This window comes from Homo sapiens, chromosome 11 (assembly GCF_000001405.40).
Source record: "Homo sapiens chromosome 11, GRCh38.p14 Primary Assembly".
In the NCBI taxonomy this organism is placed as follows: domain Eukaryota; kingdom Metazoa; phylum Chordata; class Mammalia; order Primates; family Hominidae; genus Homo; species Homo sapiens.
In genome coordinates this window covers 89,709,121-89,725,961 of record NC_000011.10, presented here as the reverse complement: position 1 = coordinate 89,725,961, position 16,841 = coordinate 89,709,121, and the positions used below count along the sequence as shown (strand labels likewise).

General features: G+C 34.6%; 1 protein-coding gene across 2 annotated transcripts; it reads right to left on the bottom strand.

The window, feature by feature from the left end:
- Positions 1 to 8,089: 8,089 nt before the first annotated feature.
- TRIM77 (tripartite motif containing 77) lies at positions 8,090 to 15,663 on the bottom strand. 2 transcript variants are annotated; one of them, NM_001146162.1, is made up of 6 exons: positions 15,253 to 15,663; positions 14,457 to 14,552; positions 11,540 to 11,770; positions 10,782 to 10,804; positions 9,975 to 10,072; positions 8,090 to 8,583 (listed from the first exon to the last, which is right to left on the bottom strand). In NM_001146162.1, exons 1-6 carry the CDS (start codon positions 15,661 to 15,663, stop codon positions 8,090 to 8,092), a joined length of 1,353 nt encoding a protein of 450 aa, NP_001139634.1. The 2 variants fall into 2 exon arrangements, with proteins under 2 accessions (NP_001139634.1, NP_001258871.1); NM_001271942.1 differs by lacking the exon at positions 11,540 to 11,770.
- Positions 15,664 to 16,841: the final 1,178 nt, after the last annotated feature.

Here is a 16,841-nt window from a genome sequence, read left to right as displayed (position 1 = left end):
AGTGCTAAGTTTTTTTAAGTGTAACAGAGGCAATTACTTTAGTGAATGCAGGAATGGTGGATGCCAGAATAGAAAAGGAGAGAAGGAGTCTCCCAGGAGTGAAAAAGCTAGTGAGTTACTCCTGTATGTTACAATTGACAGCTAGAATAGATGAAAGAGACCCTACACGTGTGAGAACAATGTGGTCCCAAGGGCAGCTCTATAAACCAATCTCACAGCCTCCACTTTGGCAAACAAACACACAAACTACTAGCCTTGAAAAAATTCCATTGTTCCACACAGGGAGCATTGCAATGGAGTCTGGTAAAAACTGTATACTAGCATTTTATTACTGAATATTCTCAAGACATAAGAGAGTCAGGGTCTTTAAAAATTACTAGTTATTAGAAGTAAAGAATAGACTTAATTCTGACTGAGAATTTTCATTTGATTTGAAAATTTAGGAGCCACAAATAAGAATTAATCTGGGAAAAACAAAGTGATGATATTGTAGTTTTAAAATTATGGAATAAAATAAGATTTTGTTGAAGCATCTTAAATACATAATACTAGTGATTTTTTTTTGTAGCTATATGAATGTTAACTGCAAATTTTTCCTTATAAAAGTGAGGCAGTATAGCTGCAAGTGCCCTAGGCTGTGAACTCAGAGCTCAGAGCAGGGTTGATTTATAGACTGATTAAAAAGCTTAACTGCTTTCTATGTAAGGGGCAGCCCATTAGCAATACGCTCATAATCTAGTATTTTTTGTGTGTGAAATCATATGGATAATCTTTTTACTTTAATTATTGAATTTATTTTCAGAAATTATTACATCATTTTGACCGTACAGACTTTTTATAATTGCATACATCCTTGTAATCATATTGGCAAGATGCAGAATGAATCAGTATGAAACTTAAATAGATCCAGGCTCACAATTGGTGACTTACATAATAGGCAAACAGAATGACAAAGGGAAAAAAGGAATAAATGGTGCAATGTTCAGAGTTCAGGTAAATTATTCAATGTTATATATAAAATTGTACATTTATTCAGTATATTTAATTTTTATTTGCTAAGAGTAGATTTTTGGGGTTGTCTGTTGTACTGGTGTGCTGTTCTTTATATTATTTTTACAATGGCATATATTATTCATATGATATAAAATTTGAATAAATATTAAAATTGTTTTTAAAAAACTAAAATAAAAACTAAGTAAGGAAGCAAAAAAAATTTAACTTACAGTATGAAGAGCTAATGTTAAATCAGAAAATTCAGGGCAGCCCAGTGTGAATGCAGAGAATCAGACAGACTAGAATTTTAAGAAAATTATTTATAAATAACACTTCTAAAATGTTTATATATATATATTCACTTCGAAAAATAACATGTGTAGACTTCCTTTTGTTTTCTAGGGAAGAACTTGAATAAATGGCAAATTCTCACATCCTTGGCAAATGATGTTGTTATTTAGAACTAAGAAATGTTTTCCTGGAAATTATTATTTAGAACTAACAAATGTTTCCAGCCATCTCTGATAGCTGAAAGGAGTTAATGACAGATAATTTATAGGGCATTTTGTTATGAAAGTTGAACTCAAATATATTAGTCTTATATTTGATTTTTATATATATTTGAATTTTCAGAAAATGGTTAATGTCTGTGGTTAGAGATTTGTTTGTTCTGCAGATGTATTAGTAATCCTCTACTTTATTAAACAGTTTAAACAGAATTGTCATTGGCCTCTTGACCTCATATTGCTCAGTTATATAATATCTTGGGGAGAAATACACTTTATACACTTTTCTGGGGAGATAAGATCCCATTATTCACGTATGTATACGTATGCATGTATCTTTTTTCTTTTTGCAATGAATATTACTCTGTATCCTGACAAAGCTAATAGCCATATCCTCCTACTTGGAGATTTGAGAAGCATGAGTGTTGGACGTGATCCTCAAGATCTACTATGTACAACTCCAAGATCTAAGTGTTTTCTTGAATGAGAACTCAGACTCTCACTTTTGGCAGACTTTACTTGGAGATGAGAGATTCTTGAAATTGGGCTTTTGGTGTCTGTAATATTACTGGAAAGGAAAGAATAGGGATAATGAGATAAATGACATGGAGAGATTCTCTCCTTAGATTGTTAAAGAGAACTTTCACTACAATCTATTTACCACTTCCTCGCTTTTATTTCAATATGTGCCATGGTCTTTCAGTCAAAAGAATTTCTAGTTAATGGAAAGGGAACTGTGAACTTTGTTAATATTGTTCAGTTCCCTTTTATATAGCACTCCTTCTCTTTATCAGGCTTGTCTTTTACTGTAGTCATTTCTGACCAGAAACAAATCAGGAAATTATCTATATATGGAGTAACAGAAGTACCTGAAGGAGCCCTTCTAGTGTGTGTGTCTTCTTAAATAAGATGCATGGGTTATATCTGATTAAGTTCCTTCTAATTTAATGAAAGCGCATTTACTATACTATTGGACATATTTGGACATCTTACATTTTTATTTTATTTTATTGAAACAGAGTCCTGCTCTGTTGGAGGCTGGAGTGCAGTTGCTCAATCTCAGCTCACTGGAACCTCTGCCTTCTGGATTCAAGTGATTATCAGGCCTCAGCCTCCCCAGTAGCTGGGATTACAGGTGAGCACCACCATGCCTGGCTAATTTCTTTTTGTATTTTTAGTAGAGACAGGGTTTCATCATGTTGGCCAGGCTGGTCTCGAACTACTGGCCTCAAGTGATCTGCCTGCCTCGGCCTCCCAAAGTGCTGGGATTACAGGTGTGAGCCACTGCACCTGGCCTATTTATACTTTTCAAAATGTGCTTTTATATATTATTTATTCATTTTATGAAAATCATCACGCATGATGCATAGCATAATGCTATTCTATGTGAAAAAGTGCTTATTAATCATTAGATTAAGGCAAATTAAAATCACAAGATGAACCACTAATTGCCCAGAAGAGCGACCAGAATTTACCGAGAGATTTATTACTATGTGTTGACAAAGATGCAGAACGAATGAAATTCCAGTCATACACGGGGGAACGTAAATTTATACAACCACTTTGAAAACATTTTGGGAAATCTACATAAAGTATTCCTTATGACCCACTAATCCACTCCTAAATATACATCCTACATAAATACATTCTCTTTTTTATTTGTAGAAATGGGGTTCCACTATGTTGCCCAAGCTGGTCTCAAATCCCTGGGCTCAAGCAATCTGCCCGCCTCGGCCTTCCAAAGTAGTGGAATTACAGGCTGCATTCATATATTAATTAAAATATGTATACAACAGTACAACATTCTTCATACCATTACTGTTCATAGTATACCAAAATTTAAGTTAAGAAGTTTATCTCCAGTAGAATGCCTAAATAAGTTGTGATATATTCATGCAAATAAATTTTATGAAGCAAAGAAAAATAATGAACTCTCACTACATGCAACAAAATGAAAGAATATCAAACATCACTTTAAGAAATGAATCTGGACAAAACTTATTCTTAAAGAATATTTAATATGGAATAATATTAAATATTAACAACAGACAAGTTCTATTCTATCTAAAGATTTTTCTTCTTTTACCCCACTTTTTTCTTTACCTCTTTCAATGTATCTAAAGATTATGTCACACACAAAGACCTGGACCTTCCCTGTCTCGTCTTCCCTATCTCCGCAATGTAACAGAAGTCTAAACCACTGCAGGAAGATTGAGAAACATAGCTTCCCTTAAGGTACTGGTAAAAATTTATTCCAGCTCATAGACAGGAACAAGAAATTAAAAGGTGGGAAATAGCATAAATACATGTTAGATTAAGACCTAGAACCGAAGGCAGAGCAAGATCACTGAGAAAGTCCCATTTACAAGTCCCAGAGATACAGTGTCTGCCTATAACAGAGGCTTAATCAGAACTGTTTCTTCTATCTGTGTATATGTTTGTGTAATTATTTAGCCTGATCATAGAAAATACAATTTTTTTAATAATATAGAATATTCTGTAAACCAAATAATCATAAATTAAATCAAAAGGAAAATAGTAGTAAATTCCACAGTGTTAAAATACACACAAGATCTATATTATGATCTTAAAGTCTTTTATATAATATATATGTGTGTTTATGTGTGTGTGTGTATATATATATGTATGTATATAAAGATTCCATATATATATATATGGCTTCCTCATCTATTTGATACTAAAAGTCCTATATAAATATTTTCTATATTGAGTATGTTTCTACCTAGGTTTTCTAGCATCTATTTTAACTTTTAACTTTACAATTTTGGTTCCTGTACATTTGGTACATAGCTATTTATAAGTTTTAATTTTTCATTGCAAATTTTGATAGCATTAAGTTGTCACATTGAAAGTTGTTGATTTAAATTATACTGACTTTCTTATCAGATTCTCAGATCCTTCTTTCTTAATGTCTCCATCTTTCTAGCATAATTTTGTCCTTCTCTTTACTTGCAGTCTTTCTGAATTATTTTGCTTTAGGTGTCTTTTTTTATATACAGGACATAGCTGGGAATTATATTTGAGCTTATAAAAATATTTTTTATCTTTTAATAGGTAAGTTAAGACCTTTCACATTTATTTTATAAATGGTGCATGAATTGAACTTCTCTAATATAACTAATAAGTACAAAAAAGATACTCAACATCATAGTCATTGAGATTATTTTAATTAAAACCACAATTACATGCCACTATAAGCTCAATACAGCAGCTACAATAAAAAACATAGACAATAGTATTTGTTGTTAAGGTTATGGAAAAATGGGAATTTTAATGCATTCTAGGTAAGCATGTAAAATAATACAGCCACTTTGAAAAATAGTTTGTTTTCTTAAAAATAAATAAATAAACATAAATGTACCAGAAAATCCAGGAATCCCTTTCCTAAGTATCTACCTAAAAGAAATAAAAATATTTTTATACAAAGACTTAAACTCATATATACATGATAGCATTATTTATAATAGCTAAAAAGGTAAAACAATCCAAATCTTGATCAACTCTTTAATGAATATCAAAATGTGAACTATTCATACATTGAAATGCTAATCAGAAAAATAATAAATAATGAAATACTGATTTATATTACAATATGGATAAATATTGGAAATATTATGCCAAGTTAAAAGACACACTAAAAACTACATATTGTATAATTCCATATATATGGAACATTCAGAGGCAGAACATTAGAGAGAGGTAATTGATTTCTTGGTACTAGGGTAGATGGTGAAATTAATTGTAAACCAGCACAAGGCATCCTTTTGGAGTAATGATAGTGTTCAAAAACTAAATTATGGTGACAGTTGAGGAACACAATAAATATACTAAAATTCATTGAAAGTTACAAATGGGAGAATGTTACATGGGAGAATTTTATGGTATACAGATTATGTCTCAATAAAGTTGTTGAAAGTACTGAGGAATATAAAAGTTATAAAATTGCCAAAGTACTTTTCAAAAAAGAATAAAATGAGATTTACATTATCTGTATCCAAATGTGCTATAAGTATGTAGGGATCAAGAAAGTATATTAGTGTATGGTGAGATAAATAAATATCTACAACAATGCAACAGAATGAGAGTCCAGAAGTAGATAACACATATATGGTCAATTGATTTTTGACAAAGGTGGTAAGATCATTCAAAAGATTCAAGGATAATCTTTTCCACAAATAGTGTTTAAATTTTTGGAATTTAGGGGCAAAAAATATGAACTTCAAACCCACATTACACTGTACATAAAAATTAACTCAAAATGGATTACTGACCTACCTAAATGTAAGCTGAAATTATAAAACTTCTAGAAGTAGTCATATAAAAAAATTTAATGACCTTGTGTTAGACAAGTATTTCTTAACACGTGGCATCAAAAAAAGAAACATTAAAAAATGACAAACTGGATTTATTAAAATTAAAAATGTTGTTCTTCCAAGGAGACAACAAAATTAAAATATAAGCCATAGACTGGCAGAAATTATATTTGCAAAACGTATATGTGATAAAGGATTTGTATCAAAAAGAACTCTTACAACTCATCAAGTAGACAGACTATCCAATGAAATCATTGTACAATGAGCAGATGATTCACTAAAGAAGATACTTGGCTGGAAACTAATGATAGTAAAAGATGCTCAAGGCCAGGTGCAGTGGCTCATGTCTATAAATACAGCACTTTGGGAGGCCAATACAGGAGGATAACTTGGGGTCAGTAGTTCAAGATCAGCCTGGGCAACATAGAGAGACCACATCTCCGCAGACAATTTTAAAAATTAGCTGGGCAGTGATGTGTGCCTGTAGTCCCAGCTACTTGGAAGGCTGAGGTGGGAGGATACCTTGAGCCCAGGAGTTTGAGGTTACAGTGAGCTATGGTCTTGCCACTGCACTCCAGCCTGGTTGACAGAGAGAGATCCTCCCTCAAAAAAAAAAAAAGTTCAACATCATTAATCACTAGTAATATATAAGCAAATTAACCCACAATAAGCTATTACTATACACTAAAAAATAGAAAAGCTTATGTAATAAAGGTTGAAAATACTAAATGTCAGTGAGGATGTAGAGGAATTAGAACTCTTACCAAGATGCTGGTGGCAATGTAAAATGGTACAGTCACTTTTTAAAGAAGTATTTTGACAGGTTCTTAAATGATTAAAATCCACTAAATAATTCAGTACTTTCACCCCAAGTAACTACCCACAATAAATGAAAGATATGTGGGTTAATTTGAACAGAAATATAAATCACAGTTGCTAAAATTGGGAACAATTAAGATACACATCATCTGGTGTTTGGATAAATAAAACGTGGTGTATACAAGGTATGAAAAACCACTCAGCTAAAAAAGAATGGAAGATGGCCAAACAGATGCAACCGGAAAGCTCCATTCCTGCTGAAAGAGACCAAAATATTGAGTAAACCATATAGCTAACAGACACTATAAAGCAACTATACAATCAACTCTACAAAACAACCAGCTGACAGCATGATGACAGGATCAAAATCTCACATATCAATACAAATCCTAAATGTAAATGATCTAAATTCCACAATTAAAAGGCACAGAGTGGCAAACCGAATAAGAAGACAAGACCCAAGTGTATTTGGTCTTGAGAGATCCATCTCACATATAATGACATCCACAGGCTCAAAGTAAAGGATGGAGAAAGATCTACCATGCAAATAAAAACAAAAAAATGCAGGAGCATCTATTCTTACATAAGATAAAAAAGACTTTAAACCAAAAACAATTAAGAAGAGCATTACAAAATGATAAAGTTTCAATTGAACAAGAAGGCTTAAGTACCATGGTACCATATCTATGTATCCTTTATGTAATGATATTTCTCAGCCTGTTCTGTCTTGCTAATTATGGCTATACTGTAGCATATTTTTGTTGGGTCTATAGCTTTTGATTTTAATAATTTTTACATGTTTATTCATTTAATTATTTACATATTTCTTGAATATCTCTCATATCATCAGACTGTTTCTTATTCCTATAATGAATGAGAAGAACTATCACTGGCATTCCCTTTTTGTAATTTACAAACTTGAAAAAAAGACCCAAGTTCTGTTAGGAGTTTTATAGAGGAAATGTATGAGCCATTCTTGACATCTGAGACCTCGTCTAGTTCAGAAAGGTGGGAACTGGTGAAGGGAAAGGTTTATCCAGATGAAGGCAGGGAATAGAGAATTTTAGGCTGACACTGAGTTTTAAATAAGGGCTATCTGGAAGGCAACTTGTCTGTGCTTTAATTTGACTCAGTTAGCTGGGTTTTCATGCTCATGTATTCTTTCACCTCTAGTACGCTTTGATAACAAGTTAAAAGAACATGCATCCTATACAATATAATAAGAGACGTTACATCTATTCAAATAAAATAGAAATGACAAATGTTCATTATCAACACTTTAAAAAATGATACGATAAATATATATCCAGGAGGTAAAATGAAGTAAAAGGTAATGAGATATGACTGATTTTCCCCATTAAGAAAGTAACCAGAATAGGAGCCTCCTCTGCTATTAGAATTCCCAAGGCCTTGGTCAGGTTTGTGACCTGTCCCTGATTATTTAGATCCGTGGCAAATGAAAGGTCTGAGAGGAAAATAGAAGATGCGTGAGAGGAAACTACAAATGAGGGAACTTTGGGCAACATTAACAAAGCTCACTATCCCACATTCATAATCCAGGAACACCCCTAGCCAGCCTTGGGGCCTTGGAATATAGTGAGGTAACAGTGGGGAGGTAGAGAAGAGACTGAAATGGTCATCCACTTTGAGACACAGGAGTAGAAAGATACCCTCAGAGTCAAGTCGCATGTCATTCCTCTTTGTCCAGGCTTCTCTGCAAAGTCCTATAACCCAATTACAAGAGTCTTTCACATCCACCTCCCAGTAATGTTTGCCAGAGCTGAGGATCTGAGCTCCCCATGAAGAAGTATACTGTGTACTTGTTGGATTACAGGACATGTCTGTATCATCAAGGCTGCACTGCAAATGCCTTAGGTCTTCGAACAGAAGCTTGTGATTACTGCATATCTTACGATCCAAGGTGATATACACTATGGCAAAAGAAAACAGTGAATGCAAAAAAACAGTTTAAAAGTTTGGAGGTACAGGTGCAGAGGCAGTCTGGCAAATGCTTAACAACCAATCCCTGAAAACAAACAAACAAAAGCAACTGGTTTTGTTTATTAGGAATATTTCCACCTCACTAAGGCCAGTTTCAAGCTACCAACAATTTAATAATCAGTCAAAAAATTTCAAAACATTTAACAATTTGCTCTCATGAGTCAGTACTAACTGGGTCCGGCATACCACTCTATCACGAGTGGCATACAGAGTATATCAGAGTAATTATGGAGACAGTTTAGCAACAGCTTCTTGTCCATTTGCAGGGCAAATGAATCTTTAATCAAGCAACTAAGATGAAAGAAAATTTAGAGAAAACAGAGATGTAGGATGTCAAGCTCTGATTTAATTTTTACTAGACTACTAAAAATTTGCCAGCTTATTCATAAGATGCCAAGAAAACATCAAAATGGGCCTTTATTTAAGCCTCCTTATTAACCAATTTTCGCAAAATAAAAAAACATACTAAAAATAATAAAAATATTATTAATTATACTTAAGCTATGACACTGTTATCATTATTAGTCCTAAACAATACCACTTTGCCTAAGATGGGAGGGCTTCACACTTGATCTTAGCCAAAAGGCCAAGAAGTAATGAGGGCTTCACAACTTAAGCAAGCAAAAGTGAAATAAACTGAAAATCTATATGTGCCTTTTTAAAAAGGTGGTTTCTCTCCCAGAATTTCTGGTTTGGACACCATTAAATCAGAATTCTCTTCATCTCATCCCATGGCTGCCTCTCTTCTATATGCCAGACTCACCCTCCATTTCCATTCGTCTGCATAGCCCTCTACACAGTGAAGGGATTTTCTTTCAGACTGCTTTGTGGTTGTACCTATTGTTTACAAACTTGTTTTTCTGCTTTTGAGAATCCTGTGGTTTTTCAAATGTATTCCTTAAAACTTCAATCTTTAGGTAAACATTCGAATAACAACATTAAGATATTTCTAAGAATTGGATCGTGTAAATATAACCAGAGTTGAAATGCTTTGAATGAATATGCAGTTTTATATGCTACACTGAAAAATGAATGCTTTATTTATAGCATTCCTCCAGGTCTTTTTTGAGTGTTTTTTTTTAATCACTTAAAATAATCATGTTACGCACTGTATTTCTTATTTATTTATTCCAGACTTCAGTTAGCTTTTCCTGAAAGTTTATTAACAGTTTTAAAATTGGTTATAAAGGTTTCCATATTTACCTGCTTGTTCACTGAAAATAATAATAGAGACAGAGAAGTGAATATAGACTAAACTGAATATAGGTCACCCATATAAAAATACTTACGTTGGAAACATTAGTGCAGTTCACACTCTTACCTCTGAAGAAGTTAAGCCTTTCTGACACCCCAGTGATGGTCCATGCACTGAGCTGTGGGTTCACAGGCTGAGGCATGGCCAGCCTCAGAAACTCATTCCTGCAAAGAAAAATACCTACTTTTAATTACCAGTCCCAAAGGAATCATTAGCAATCCACTAATAAGATGCTTGATCAGAATCCTCACAATTAGGTTGAAGAGTGTGACTTGAACTCAAGAACTAAGAAATATTGCAATTGTAACTGTATTTTACAATGTGCTCTGCTGCTTTTAATACCTCTATGACAGTAAAGTATGTTATCCCAGTCATAATTATATCAGTTCTCACCTTCACAGCTTCCCTAGGTGAGCCATGCAGAAATACTCATTTAATTTCTGAAATCTGATAGCTGTCAAATTTTTGGAACATGCCACCTGCTACATATGGAGCCTCAGCTCTATACTACATTCCTTCTTGGTGATGTTCCCTTTCTCTTATTTTCACCATCTTTCCATCAGCTGCCTCTCTGAGATTATTTGCCTTTCCCATTGACAACCTGGAATAACCTTCAAATAATTAGGATGTAGAAAATTAGAGGCAGGAAAAATAGTTGCCTTATTGAAACTTCTACATTAGGCCTTGCAATTAAAACTGCTTCCCATCCTTCACTTTCATCTGAAGTAGTCAATATATAAAGCCTGGATGACCTTTGATAAGAAAGGAATAAATACAGACAGAAATTCCTCACTAAAAGTGTGGGTCGATCCCAGCAGAAACAGCCTGATTATTGTCACAATTACCAGGACTTGGATAGAGGGGCAAACTTACCTTTTCATTACGTCTCCCAAATCCTATAAAGAGAGAGAGGATTGCTTAGTTTGCAGCACAACATGGTTCTCTCAATATATCCTAGACATGCAGTCTGAGGATATGGACTGAATTGGAAAACTTAACGTCTTCCACTTTCCTTCTTTGGATAAAGGCATTTTTCATTTTCTTTTTCTTTATAAATATGAAACCCAGTCTGACGTCTACATGTAGTCAATAAAATTATACTCTTGATGAAACATAGTCAGATGGACTGAGGTTGAACAAATGGGAAGAGGAAGGGAAGACATTCTACTGTACAAACATCTGCAACAAGATTGACAGAGGTCCCCACAAAGTTCTTATAAGGATGTGTGGGGCCCAAATTTAGGACTTCAAAACTAAAAGAGTAAATAAATTTCATAAATCTCACACTTTCACATATTGACACATCCTTATACAAAACTGAATCATGTATTCATGAGCTGCTCTGTTGCAACTACTAAGAATCAGTGGGTGTAGTAAGATAATTTTAGAAGAGAATTTTCCTGAATTTGTTACTAGAACTTTTCCAAATAGTTTTCCTTCTCCTCTATGGGACAAGAAAGAGTGAGACCGGGTCTACAGAGGAGTGAAACCTGCCACCATAAGGCCAGGAAAGGCAGAATCTGAATATTTGGAACCGGAAAAGTAATATAGATCAAAAAGGATATAGACTCTAGCAGATACGATTCCCAAGCAGGGTGGTGTTCAGCACCCTGATCTCCTTCAGTTTTTACCTGAGGCAGGTTCACATCTGCTTTACAGCTCATTTCCTTCAGTTTCTCATACATTTCTCTCAGGAGTATACCCATCTTAGCCATTCTAGTTTGACTTCTCTTGAGTTGCTGAAAAATTATCCTGCCTTCTCTTGCCAGGCTCTCTACGTGCTTTTGCTCTTCTTCACGGAGGTATTGACACACCTTAGGATATTCAGCACTGATCATCATGCTCCGCAAATTTATAAAAACCTGTAGTGATAGTTGATTAATTAAATCATGTGTCTAAGTGGTTTTATTCTTTCCTTATCAGCTATTCTGCTTTGTTTCATGTTTTGTGCTATTCTACTAAATATAGTTTAATGCTTTTCCACTTCAAATACAGTATAAATCTTCCTTTCTTCCTCCTTCCCTTCCTCTTCCGTTTCCCTGCATCACTCCATCTACTTTCCCTCAAACCTCCATATTTACATTTTAAAAATAAAGATAATAAAGATAAATTAAGATCAAATTTATGTTGTCTTATATAATGTTCTAACCTCTTCATCATTATACCTAAATTTTATTCCATTTTTCTCAATACTCCTACTCACAACAATTTACTTCCTCAGGAAAATAGAGAACATAAGACATTGCTGCATCTTTCTAAATTACTTCCATTTCCAAAACACTCGGTGCTTTTACCAGTGTTTGGCTATGCTTGCCTATTACCTAAGACTACACATCTCTATCCACCCCTTCTCTAGATTACTTTCTTACAATGTTCATTCTTTCCTTCTGCCTGCGTCTGTCTTCCTGTCTCTGTCCCTATTGTTTGCCTACTCTCTCTTTCTGGCTCCATTTCTCTGTCTCATTCTTTCCCTGGCTTGTCTTTGATTTTCTGTCTCTGTCTTTCTGTCACTGTGTCTTTATTTCCCCCATCTCTCTTTCACTCAATTATATTATTATTATTATTATTATTATTATTATTATTATTATTATTATTATTGAGACAAGGTCTCAGTTTGTCACCCAGGCTGGAGTATGGTGGTGCAATCATGGCTCACTGCAGCCTTGAATTCCTGGGCTCAGGAGATCCTTCCTCCTCAGCCTCTTGAGTAGCTGCGACTTCAGACACATGCCGCCATGCCAGGCTACTCAATTACTTTTTTTTTTTTTTTTTTTTTTTGAGACGGAGTCTCCCTCTGTCACCCAGGCTGGAGTGCAGTGGCATGATCTCAGCTCACTGCAACCTCTGCCTCCCGGGTTCAAGTGATTCTCCTGCCTCAGCCTGCGTCCTAAGTAGCTGGGACTACAGGCGCACACCACCATGCCCAGCTAATTTTTGTATTTTTAGTAGAGACAGGGTTTCACCACATTGGCCAAGATGGTCTCAATCTCTTGACCTCGTGATCCGCCCACCTCGGCCTCCCAAAGTCCTGGGATTACAGGCATGAGCCATCGCGCCGGACCTCAATTACTTTTTCACAGTTTTTCCCTTCTTTCCATACCACCTTTAAATACGTGCAAATTTTGCAAATTACTTTGGAAAAAAAATTAAAATATTCTTGTCCCAATTACTTCATCTAGCTTCTCTTGCTAAAACATTTCTATCCTTATTAAAGCTAAATTAATCAAATGTGATCAAACTTGCTGTGCTCATGTGTGTGATTAAAGACCCCTTTACCTCTATTCCCTACTCTTTCCTGAACCAAACATTACAACTTACCAAGAACTTTTTTCTAAATCCAAATATTATGCTTTAGTCCTAGAAGTCTTCACCTTCCTTCTGCATTTGACACCATTTTCTACTTATTCCTTTTAACCATACCTTGTTTTTCCTGCCACAGAAAAATACATTCTTACAAAGCCACTGATTCATTTCTTCTGCACTTTCTTATCCCTGAAAATGGGTTCTTCTTGGCCAGCATAGATTCTACAAACCTGGATTCTTTGTATCCATTCTCTGCTTTATTTTTCCCTGAAGCACTTCACGAACATTATTTATTATAAAGTTTACATTTTAATTTGTAGATTGAATTCCCCCACTAGATTATAGACTCCTAGGGTAAGCGATCTATTTCTTCTTTTGTTCACTTCTGTATCATTTTGTTGGGCTACAGCAGTAAGCAACACATGATAGGCCCTCACGAGAATGCAGGACTCCTCAGAAAATCCATCTGAAATGATCAACATGATTTTTTTGTTCCCCTTTGGCATTCTCACAGTATCACATATCAATTATTATTATTCTCTACTGGTCCCTGTTTATATGTCCCCTTCAGAAGTGCTTGAGATCTTTGAGAATAAAAATGTTGTTTAATTTACTTATTCAGTTTTAGGTACTTAATTCATATTTGTGAATGGATTATATAATCCTAAATTCTTACCTAAGCATTCACATTCTAGACCTGGCCATAAGTACATTTATAGCCATATCTCTCACCACTGCCTGACTCTTTTTCATGAATTAATCAAGAGGAGTTACTCACATGCCCAAATAATTTTACCGCTTTTCTAACTTTCAGCTTTCTTATTCCTAAAATCTTCCAACATTATCATCGGTAAATTTCTAAATTTTACTAACACATTAGCATCAGATTGATTTTCACCTAGAAGCTATTTTTTTTTAGCATTTCATGTCTGCTAACCTGCTGTAGAACCACATTTTTACCTTCATTCTAGTGATCTTACATGCCACTTTTAGCACATTTCTTGTCACTGCTGATGTATTATTGGTAGATACTGCTTTATTCAGAAAAATCAGGATATTTTTAGTTATATATTGGATTCAACATGAAATCTCACACTAAAGATTAAGTTATATTGTAGAGAAACACATGTAGGTCCTTTTTCTGATCATCCTATTCAGGGGACACATGGTTAACTCAAGTTCTTCTCCCACAAGTCACATTTTCTATTCCAAACTGGTTCTGAGAGAAATGAGCTTACTGCTTACTTCCCATGTTCCGATTATGTTGGTCTCTCTGTTTAGATTTCTTTGATTTTTCTGTTTTTTTTTCCAGATGGACTTCATTTGAATCAGGAGTTTCTTCTGAAAAACAAAACTATAAATCTGAGCACTAGAAAAGAAAATATAGTATATTTCAGATACTACCAAAAGAGGTACAGACATGGGACAAGTAAAGAGTGCAGAATGCAGACATGCAGGGGCTTTTCTTAAGGGCACTGATTGTCAAGTCCGAGAGGTCAATGAAACCAAAGGTAGAATTCCCAAATTTAGAAAACAAGACCCATTATCTTAGAAGTCTGGCACTGAAACTGATACAACCTTGTCAATTTTCAGAAGTAACTCTTATTTTATATTTAATTTTAAAATGCTAGCCCTCAACTTATCTACAGTACTATTGGAGCATACTGACCAGTATTTATTAGAATTTTCTATAATAGATTCATTGCAATCATGACTGTGTTAGCCAATGACTATCATGGAAACTAGTGATTAATATAGAGCTTCTTACACTGAAATACCAGAACCCTAATGCTCATCAACTTTATCATCATTCTTCTCCCTCAGCCCAAGAGAATTTAAATTTCAGGTGAGCAGGGATGTTTGGTTTCTTCAGTGCTTTATCTTAGTGTCTAGAACAGTGTCTAATTTATGGTCATAAGCAATTCTGTTTGTTTATTGCATAAAATTATTAATAACAATAATGATAAGTATATCTTTCCGTATTACCTGTAGGATTCAGGGTTCTTCACATTTCAAAGTGCAATCAGTAGCATTTACTTACCCTATAGTATTCATCAGCCTCCCTTGTCATATAGTGTTTGTGAGTAGCATGCCTTGGGGATTGAGAGCATAGAAAACACAGCAGGCTCCTATCAGTTTCACAGATGAGGTTCTTGATTTCCTGGTGTCTCCTACAGATCAGCATGGCAGAGCTTGATAACTGGCAGGGGACTGATTCTCTTGTAGGAATAACTTGTTTCTCAGCAAAAATAATGCGTTTGAAGTACATTTGCTGTGATATTTCCCTGCACACAGGGCAGCAATTAGGAGTTAGTGTATCTTCCCACAAGAGGCAGAGACAGGGACTACAAAATCTGTGCCCACAACAAATGGTGACAGGGTCTGTCAAATAGTCTGTGCAGATCGAGCAGGTGAGCTCACTGGTAGAACACTGCGTGATAGCAGAAGCCATGTTTCTGAGGAAATAAAAGGAAAGTGTCATTCTTTCCCCCATGGCATATGAAATGAGCTTAAGACCTTTTTTTACTAATTTGTGTATGCATTGTAGCATGACAGGCCATGTTTTCTGAAAGACTAAAATAGGATGGAGAGACACAAACAGTGCAACAGATTGATCACATGTCCTCTTTCTTGACAACCTTGGCCTATAGCACTATTTTCCAGTTCCCTAATAGAAATCCAATATTTTTCATATCTGTTATCTCTCCTACAAAAACATAAAAATTACAAGTCCTGGGCTCATCTGTAGCCACAGGCAGTGGATCATTATTTTGTCCAAAGCTATCAAGATTTCCCCCTTTTTTTCTCTCTCTCTTATTGGTCATCATAAGACACGTACTCCAATTCTGGCCAAGAGAACAAGAAAGTAGACTCGTAGAAGAATTCTGTAAAAGGTGTTCTTGCTACAGAAGAGACACATAGAAGAAACAATTGCTTTTTCTGCCTCTGGACATTATTTGGATGCAATATTTGTTTGTGTAACCACTTTGTGGACTCATAGTGAACTAATCTAAGACCAAAGCCAATACTCTAAGGAAAACAGAAAAGTGGAAAGAAACTGCATCCTTAATAATACAATAGAACACTACGTAATTCTGGAGAGGCCAACTAATGCAATAGAAGGAATGGTGGACAATCATCATTTTACTGATGCCATAAAAATAACTGAATCAGGCAAGAATCATTAATGGATAATAAAATAACTAAGTCATAGATTTTGTGAAAGAGCCTATTTACATATCATCAAAGTTCTACCCCACATGTCAGCTCTATCCACAGTGTTATTGAGGCATAATAGATAAGTGAAAGTGTATAATTTAATGTATACAAACAGAGGTAGATGACTAAGGACACAAAACACCTCTGTAGTATTTTTGCCAAAAACATTTTACCTGCATGTAACCATGGGAGGAAATTAGATAAATGCATTTGAAAAACACTATGCAAAAAATAAAACTGGCCTATTAAAATAATTTTAATTTCTAAGGAGAAAATGTCTGGAAACAGCTATATAGCAAAGATAACTAAAAGAAATAAAAAATCTAACTATGATGTAATTATAGTATCATTGATTTGTACCTGGTTTGAAAAAAGTAACAGCCGATTAGGACATTTTTAGAACGTTCAGGG

Coding starts and splice junctions, on each gene's coding strand:
- TRIM77 (NM_001146162.1), bottom strand. CDS start 15,663: ATGGCTTCTGCTATCACGCAGTGTTCTACCAGTGAGCTCACCTGCTCG. Junction 14,553..15,252: donor AGGCTGATGAATACTATAGG/GTAAGTAAATGC, acceptor TTTGTTTTTCAG/AAGAAACTCCTGATTCAAAT. Junction 10,073..10,781: donor TTGGGAGACGTAATGAAAAG/GTAAGTTTGCCC, acceptor TTTTCTTTGCAG/GAATGAGTTTCTGAGGCTGG.